At 44.7% G+C, this 9,409-nt stretch overlaps 1 long non-coding RNA gene and 1 pseudogene across 1 annotated transcript; both read left to right on the top strand.

Annotated features, from left to right (window-relative positions):
- The first annotated feature begins 4,761 nt into the window (after positions 1 to 4,761).
- On the top strand, positions 4,762 to 7,815 carry LOC124900509 (uncharacterized). Its single transcript, XR_007068487.1, has 2 exons — positions 4,762 to 5,315; positions 5,469 to 7,815. It is a non-coding gene; the product is annotated as an uncharacterized LOC124900509 (long non-coding RNA).
- On the top strand, positions 6,699 to 7,094 carry SNX18P16 (sorting nexin 18 pseudogene 16; annotated as a pseudogene).
- Positions 7,816 to 9,409: the final 1,594 nt, after the last annotated feature.

Genomic DNA, 9,409 nt, shown 5'->3' with positions numbered 1-9,409 from the left:
GTTTGTGGCAATGTAAATTAATTCAGCTACTATGGAGAGCAGTTTGGAAATTAAGAACTAAGAATGACTGTTGGATGCAGCAACCCCATTACTATACTAGGGGTATACCGAAAGGACAATAAATCATTGTAACAAAAAGATGAATACACATGTATGTTCATTGCAGCACTATTCACAATAGCAAAGACGTGGAGTCAATCCAGGTACATCCAAGGTAGATTGAAAATCCAAGGTAGATTGGAAAATTCCATATGTACCATGGAATACTATGCAGCCATGAAAAGAACAAAATCACGTCATTTGCAGCAACATGAATACAGCTGGAATCCACTCTCCTAAACAAACCAACGCAGAAACAGAAACCAAATATCTCATGTTTTCACTCATGTGGGAGCTACATATTGGGTGCACATTGTCATAAAGGTGGGAATAATAGACACTGGGAAATAAGAATGGGGAGGGACAGAGTGGGCCAGGGTTGAAAAACTACTTCTTGGGTCCTATGCTCACAACCTGTGTGATGGGTTTAATTGTACTGCAAACCTCGGTATCCCTCAATATGCCTTTGGAAGAAACTTACAGAGGTACCACGTTAATTTAGAATACAAACTAGAAAAAAAAAGAAAAGTTTCCTATAAGTGGAGAACAGAAATTTCTTTTTAAGATAAAATTTATTGAAGTAAAAAATGGATTAAACTTTTATAAAGGGCAGAGTTTTCTGAGAATTTCAAAGCAATGCATTCATTGCAAAAGATGGCTTTAGTTACTTAATCTTTTTTTTTTTTTTTTTTTTTTTTTTTTTTTGTGAGACAGGGTCTCACTCTGTCACCAGGCTGGAGTGCAGTGGTGCAGTCTTGGCTCACTGCAACCTCCACCTCCTGGCTTCAAGCAATTCTCCTGCCTTAGTATCCCAAGTAGCTGGGACTACAGGTGCACATCACCACGCCCAGCTAATTTTTGTATTTTTAGTAGAGATGGGGTTTCCCCATGTTGGTCAGGATGGTCACGATCTCCTGACCTTGTGATCTGCTTGCTTTGGCCTCCCCAAGTGCTGGGATTACAGGTATGAGCCACCATGCCTGGCCATTGTTTAACCTTTGTACTAATAAAACACTACCTTTCTAAAATCATGTATATGCAATAGATCAATATTAACTGCATTTTTGTCAGATTACTCTAAACCGCATTACACATATACATCCTCTGTTATCTAAACTTAAAATAAGTAGAAATTTTATTTTATTTATGTGATTATTTTTCTATTTAAGCAAACTTCAAGTTATGTCTAGTCACTAAAAATACTAAAGGCCACATTTTGTAAGTGATACATGATTTTCATTATAATGTTTCTTGTTTAATTTAGACATTATTATTATTTTTACTTACTTTAGATGGGGCTGGACTGTGTAGAATAAATAATTAGAGAAACAAAGAGAAGTACGTTGACAAAATTTATTAATTAAATTTAGGTTTATTTTAGAAATAAAGTGTAAATAGCAAATGGCATTCCTTTTCATTCTTGGGTTAGTAGATACTACATCAATATTTTTTTTCTTACACACATCTAATGAAAGATGTGAAAACAAAAACTTTCACAGAGAAGACTGTACTTATGCACCATAAATTCATCATGTTCCAAAGCTTAAACAGTTCCCAAGAAGTCTGTGCATCTCTTTTTCACTGGCTCTACACTTTCTTAAGTTTTGCCATCCTCATGGAACTGTCAGCCAGCACACTGAAACGATTCTCAGAAAACAAAAGCATCATCAAGTTCTCAGGGTTTTGGTAGAGATTGAAGGCCAACAGACCTAAGACTCATTCAGAAATACTTAGCTGAGCAATAACCCTTCATAAGCAGTCACTTGACAGGTGACATTTTAAATCTCCTCTAATTTACTGTGTCATTGGCTTACACTTGTTCTCAGGAAAAGTTCCAAATTTTTCACCATGAAATAAAAACACCCATGTCAATGTAATTCTTGCCAAGTTACTCAGCCTTGTTTCTCACCACTTATTGCACTCTGCCCTTTGCTGTAGCACCAAACTGGATGGAGTGGAACTCTGCAGGGCTCTTCCTCACCTCAGGCTCTTTGCCTTTGCCTCTTTCCTCTATCTGGGAAGCTTTTCCTTGTCCTTCAGGCATCAACCTATGTTATCTCCTCCACCAGAAAGCCCATGATATTGACATAAAAGTGGGTAGATGTCCTTTCTCTGTGTTCCAGTAGTGCCCTGCTGTATACCTGTCATGGTATCTATGACTCTATATGGACATTTCCTGCCTGTCTGTTTTTTAGGTTATAGCTTATGACTGTTGAGAGGTGGACCATGCCATCTTCATCTTGTAATTCCAGTGCTGGTTCTAGTACCTTAGCATGTGGCTGTTGATTACATGAATGAAGACTGAAAAAGCTCTGATATTTAAACACAGTTAGAATTAATGCCATGTGTAAATTATTAAATAGTAATTTTGTGTTGTATATGTACATACATATTTCTCACTTATTAACTCTGATAAAGTTCTCAAGTCTTTAGTTTTTAAACTCACACTTAGTTAACTGAAGTGTTTTAGGTAAAGAACAAAATTCTTTATTTTTCTTTCCAGCTGTTGCTGTATTGGACACTTGCTCCCATCTACTTTCTTCTCTAGAATCCACGGGTAAGCCACATCTAATGAAGAGAATATTTAACCATAAAGTCTTAAGGAAAAATTCTATGATGATTTAAAAGATTATAAAACTTTATTACTGGGCTATTTACACATTTTAATTGTTTCTCATGAAATATATAACATTCCAATGTTTACTGAAGTAGGATATTTTTGTATCATATGTATGATTATAATTTATAGGGTATTTTAAATGATGTTTTTTGGCCTCCTTAAGTTTTAAGTGGATCTTGCAAATGAAAACCAGTATTATTGAGTTTGACATATTCAAATTGCCCAAATGTCAGCTGTTTAAACAACCAAGTCATCATTGATACTTTAGTAAAGGTTAGTAAAGGTCATCGAAGGCTTATTTGCATTTTACAGTTTTTATTACTTAGGAGAGTTAAGTAGTACCTGCAAGGTTTGTCCATGCTAATGTTACAATTTTCTTTTTGTAGTTCAACCGTATTTTGTATGGAGATACTTTGAGGCTCTGTAAATATCTGGTTACTCCTCAGAACCCACTAGATTTAGCATTTCATGGATGACTTGTGTTTGAACAATTATTACTATGATAGTTACCAGATGATTATTTTCTTATTCTCCTCTTTGTTCTACATGGAGAAATAAAACCAATAAATAAGGGAGAAGGAAAGCTCATGATTCTGATGCTCCAATTCCCCAAGATTAGGCCAGTAGTAGACATTCCAAGCTGACTTTATGTCTCTTTGATTTGTCTCCATTACTCCGTCGGCACTTTTTTACTTTCTGGCAGAAGATGTTCTAAGCTCAGCTTGTATTTTCTCTGCGCCAGCTCTGGAATGAGTAATTTTTTTTAGAAGCAGAGGTGGAGCCACTGAGGAAGCACAGGTGAGCCCTCCCCAGTGTGTACTCACTGGTCCCCAACAGAAGAACCACTGCCACATCCACTGAAGTACCAAGAAACTAGCAAAGGGCCTTCTGCCTGTCTGGGGAGAGTCCTCATGTGGTCCCTGGCTGTCTCAGAGGTTCTGGATTAGTCTTCCTGTAGCCTCTGTGTTGTGTCTTTAGATCGGGGCTCTGTGGGAAGGGCCCTGAGAGACCCAACAGCACAGCGTGCCTTATCTGCCAAAAGTCCCTCCCTTCCTCACACTCTGACACTCAGGAATAGGGTAGATGGTGTGTCCAGGCAGTGTCAGGCCACCTCACTTTCTCCTTTGAGACGGGCCCAGAGTGCCTTTGGGGTGAGTGTGGATCTCGGAACCTGGAGCCTGAGGCCAACTGTCTCTCCCTGTGTCTTGGAGGAAAGGCCACGTCCCAAAAAAACCCCCAGGGCCTGACCTCTGGGCACACATGCAGGGAGGGAGGGTCTATGAGCTGAGGGGGACATTGTAATGAGACTTTGAACCCCATTGCTCCGGGGCCTGGTCAGTGGACCATGGTCAGAGATGACCTGGTCATCAGGACCTGGTCATTTGGGACCTGATCAGCAGGGGCCTGGTTAGTGGCGGCCTCCTCAGTAAAGGCCTCATCAATGGGGACCTGGTGACCTAGTCATTGGAAGCCTGGTCAGTGGGGGGACCTAGTCAGTGGTGGCTTTATTAGTGGGGCCTGATCTGTTGGAACATAAACAATGAAAAACTGGTTGGTGGGGCATACACAATATATCACGGGCCTGGTCAGTGTGGGGCCTTAGTGGCTTGGAGCCTGGTCAGTGAGGGCCTGGTCAGAGGGGGCTCAGTCAGCTGGGTACTCGTTCATGGAGAATTGTTCAGTGGGGGGTCGGTTGAGCAGCAACCTGGTAAATTGTGGTCTTGTCAGTGGGAACCCTGTCTTGTCAATGGGGACCAGGTCAGTGGAAAATTGGTCAGTGGGGTCTGGCCCATGAGGCCTATTAAGTGTGGGCCTGGTTAGGAAGACATGGTCAGTGGGGACTTGATCAGTGGGACCTGGTCAATGGAGGAGTGGTCATTAGGGGTCTCATCACTCATCACTGGGAACCTGGTCAGGGGCAGTTTGTCAGTACCTGGCCTGCTGGCCACTATGTGACCTCAGGCAGGGGGGTTGTCTGTGGAGCCTCCTTGCCTCCATCTGCAGGGAAAGTGAGTCGGGGCACCCTGGAGGGTGGCTGGAAAGAGAAGGTGAGAAGATGTGTTGAATCCAATACTGCTTGGCAGACCTACAACTTTACAAATGACCTGTGTTCCACCTAGAGAGGGTGCCAGCCCTCTCAGCATTATGCAGTGCCCCTCCTCTGTCTGCATCCCCAGGACCACCATGGGTGGGGAGGGCAGAGATTGGGGAGCACCTATAGAGGCTCTAATGCTCTAAGGTGACAGTGATGAGGACCTGGGTGCACCCATGAGTGGAGAAGCTAGGCCTGTCCAGAGAAGCAAGACAAACACACACATACACACACACACACAGGCACACATGCATACACAAATACATTGCATACACACATGTCAGTTCAGGGGATAGAGGACACTGACTCTGGGCCCTGTTGACCCAAGCAGACTCCCATGGTGGTGGGTTGTGTCACCCCACAATGTCACTGTTGCTGAGTCCCCATCACCTCTGTGTTGTGGAGCAGTTAGAGACACACAGCAGTGTCTGTGAGTAGCTCTGCGTGAAGGACCATTTTCTAGATGAGAGGCACATCTCAACACAGCTCACTGATCAGATTCAGGTGAGTGGGACCTGCTCTTTTCTCTTCCTCCTGGCTTGGGAAAAGTCACTATCAGGTGGATGGTTTTGGTCTCTGGGCAGCTACTGAGGGTAATCCCTGAACACTCACCAGCTGCCTGTTATGTGCTGACAGTCATCTCATTCATCCTCGCAGCAATTCCATTCTGCATCTTTTCTGATCACCTCCGTGACCACACAGGACAACCCCATCAGGGCCCTGTCACCAGGCCCAGTCTAGCTCCATGATAACCAAGACACAGGTCCAGAGACAATCGTCCTACATTGTGCCTGCATCTGACCCCCCTTGGTAGGTAGTGACCAGCACAACATGGAAGAAGCCAGGGCAGCATGCAGCCAGCTGCTCTGCAGCCCCAAATGGCTCCTGGGCCTTGGAAGTCATTCATAAAGGGGAAGCTGGTCACTTTGAGGTCCCTGAAGGGAAGGGTGAACGTGCATCCCAACAGCCCTGGCAGCCAGCAGCATGCCATACATATTCTCACCCAACGTGTGTGACAGAGGTCCCCTCCTGGGGCACAAGCCCCATACCTAAAGCATCCTGTCCCAGTCGGACCTCATCCTGAGCCCTGGGAGGGGAGGGGCACCATGGGCCCCCCTGCAGCAGCCAGGATTACCACCCAGGGGACTCGGCCTTCTGTGGCCCTGGCCAGACTTAGAATTTGGCCCAAGACAACCTTACTCGGAGCAGCTTCTCAGTACCTGGGGCCTGTGCATGCCAGGCAAGGCCAAGCTGGCTCAAAGAGCAACCAGCCACCTCTGCAAGGGTGTGCCAGGAGCAGGTGGAGCAGTCACCAACCTCACCCACTCAAGGAAATAGGGATGGCCAGTTTCCCACAGTCTGAGTGACCACCACCTGACAGCTGATGGAGTGGAGGCCTGAGGAAAAGCAGATGGCACTGGGGCTCCACCTCCAGGGCAGAATAACTGATTTACCCTGACTGGCAGGGAGTGACGTTGGTGGCTGGTCCACTGGCTCCTGGCACACCATTGCAGAGGTGGGTGGTTGCTCTTTGAGCCAGCTTGGCTTTGCCTGGCATGCACAGGCCTCAGTGCAACAAATGTGCTGCAAATGGAGCCACAGAGAGGAAATGAGCAGCAGGCTCAGAACTGGGGTGTGTGCCGCCTTTGGGGCTCCAGTCCAAGCATCGGGGCTTCTACAGCACTGTGGGCTTCTCGGGTGCCAAGAGGCAGACCACAGGCCATCTTGAGGAGGACTCTGGTAAGAGCTTCCTTGTGTATGTGGATGATGTCCAGAATGTTGGCCTGGTGTCCCTGAGACAGCACTAACAGGTCCATGACTGGGTCCAGATCCTGCCTGGGCTGATGGGCAAAGAGCTCACTGACAGTGTGGAAGCATCTATTTTGAAGTAGGATCTATGTTCAAGTGCAGAAAGGGCCCAATCTTGTAGATGAACCACACAGCCAGCTTCTGGATGCAGGTGCAGTGCCACATTGTTTGTCACTTCCTGATGTGCCCCACCAGCACTGAAGAGATAGCCTGGAGACAGGGCAAGAGGAAGGCTGAGAAGGATGAGATGGTGAGTGCCAGATTCTTCCTGGCCCTGAGCCCACCCCCAGTGTGACACTCAACTTTTAGGAGTGGGAGAGCAAGATTGACGGCTTCAAGTGCTTCACCAAGAAGATGGACAACAGGGCACTCAGCTCAACTTCACAGCCAATGAGTGGTGGCAGGCTTTGAGAAAGAGCATCAGAAGCCTGACAGTTCTTCTTCAGCCTCAGCCAGGCCTTGGAGCTGGACCAGGCCATCCACTTCAGTATAGATGCCTTCCACTCTGTCAGTGAGCTCTTTGCCAGTCAGTCCAGGAAGGACCTGGACCCAGCCATGGACCTGTTAGTGCTGTCTCAGGGACACCAGACCAACACCCTGGACATCATCCACATACACAAGGAAGCTCTTACCAAAGTCATGGAGAGCAGACAACATGTGGCAGAAGGGAAGACACAGGTGCAGAAGAAGGTGCAGAGGCTGATGACGTCAGAATCACAGGAACAGGATTTCTTTGGCCACTTTGGCTGAAATTCACCACTTCCATCCAATTCCAGTGAGAGACATGGACTCACAGATGCAGCATTTCTTGCAACAAGAGATACTACTTTTTCAAAAAGTCACCCAGGAATTGATAGTGTTGAATGACTCAATACTCGATCGTGGACGGTTTCCAGTTCAAGGATACTTTCTACAGCAGAATAATAACACTAGCAAAGAGCTAGTACAAGGATGGTTTTGTGCTCAACTGAAATCCAGTTGAATACAGAATTGTATAGGAAACAGTTAATATGGTGATAGAATAGAAACAGTAGCAATCGTGAACTAAATCATACTATGAATGCCTAAACTACTGCTGTAACTTTTGGAAAAATGATAATACCACTTTATTGCTTTTTGAAGTATGAATATTTTAGTGTATATGCTCTAGACTTCAAACTCTATAAAGAGTCTCAAAGAAGTTGGCTGGATAAAACCTGCTGTGGATGTCTTTATATTCAAAGATTGATGATGCAATTTGAATATGTGTCCCCACCGAATCTCATGTTGAATTATATTTCCTAATGTGGAAGGTGGATCCTGGTATAATGTGATTGAATTATGAAGGCAAATTTCTCATGAATGGTTCAGCACCATCCCCTTGTACCATCCTCACAATAATGAGTGACTTCTCATGAGATGTAGTCACTGAAATCTCTATATCACCTCCCCACTCTCCGTGTTTTCCCCTTGCCATGTGAGACAATTGATTCTTTCTTTGCCTTCCATGATTATTGAAAGATTTCTGAGGCCTAGAAGCAGAAGCACTGTGCTTAGAACCATGAGCCAATTAAACCTCTTTTTCAAAATAAATCATACAGGAAATGGCAAATGAGGACTGGAGCTTTGCTATAAAGATACCTGGAAATGTGGAAGCAGCTTTGGAACCAGGTAATGGATGGAGGTTGGAAGAGTTTGGAGGGCTCAAAAGAAGACAGATGAGAAAACTTTTGGACCATCTTAGAGTCTGGTTCAATGGTTGTGACAAAAATCCTGACAGAAACATGGACAGTGAAGGCCAGGCTGAGGAGGTCTCAGAGAGAAATAAGAAGCTTTCTGGAAAATGTCTTCCTTTTGGAAATGGAAAGCTTACACAATGCCTGCTTTTTATTTCAGAGACTCATAGGCAAAAGAGACTGTAGCCTTGACCCAGATGAGACTTTGGACTTTGTAACTTTGAGTTAATCCTGAAATGAGTTAAGACTTTGGGAGACTGCTGGCAAGGCATGTTTGTATTTTGCAATGTGAGAAGGACATGAGATTCATCGGGTCAAGGACAGAATAATACGGTTTTTGTCTATGTCCCTACCAAAACTCATGTGGAATTATATTTTGTAATGTTACAGGCAAGGTCTAGGTGGAAAAAGATTTAGTCATAAAATGGTGCAGGTAGATACTTCACGAATGATAAAGAACCATCACCTTGATGCTATCCTCCTGATAATGAGTGAGTTTCCATGAGATCTGGTTGTTTAACAGATCTCATCCTCCTGCTCCTGCTTTAGGAGACATCTCATTGTCCCTTGGCTTTCTGATATAATGAGGAGGCTTCCTGATTCCTCACAGAAACAGAAGACACTATACTTCCTTCACAGCTTGCAGAACCATGAGTCAATTACACCTCTTTTATTTACAATAATACAGAAAAGTAGAACTGCAGAGAGGAGCTGTGAAATGCCTTCAAGGCCTTTTTCCCTTTGTTTTGGCTATTAGCACAGGGCTTCTTTATATGCAAATTTCTGAAATCTTCTTGAATGTTCCCCTTAAATGGGATTTTTGTTATTGCTACATAGCCAACCTGCTATACAGATTTCTGAAAAAGTAGAAGCAGGCTCAGTAGTGGGTAGCAAACAAAGATTGGAAGGGTTTGGAGGGATTAGATTATGACAGGGAGTGGGAGGGAGTGATTTAATCATGGATGGGTGGGGGTGGATGTGGAAGGGAAAAAGGGGTGGGTAGGGTGCGAGGGAGTAGACTGACTGTACGGTGGTGGGAGGGTGGTGGGTAGTAGGAAGGGGTAGTAGCCTGCT

The sequence above is a fragment of the Homo sapiens genome, assembly GCF_000001405.40.
Source record: "Homo sapiens chromosome 4 unlocalized genomic scaffold, GRCh38.p14 Primary Assembly HSCHR4_RANDOM_CTG4".
Classification (NCBI taxonomy): domain Eukaryota; kingdom Metazoa; phylum Chordata; class Mammalia; order Primates; family Hominidae; genus Homo; species Homo sapiens.
The sequence above is the reverse complement of the archived record's forward strand: the minus strand, read 5'-3'. Positions and strand labels throughout refer to the sequence as shown.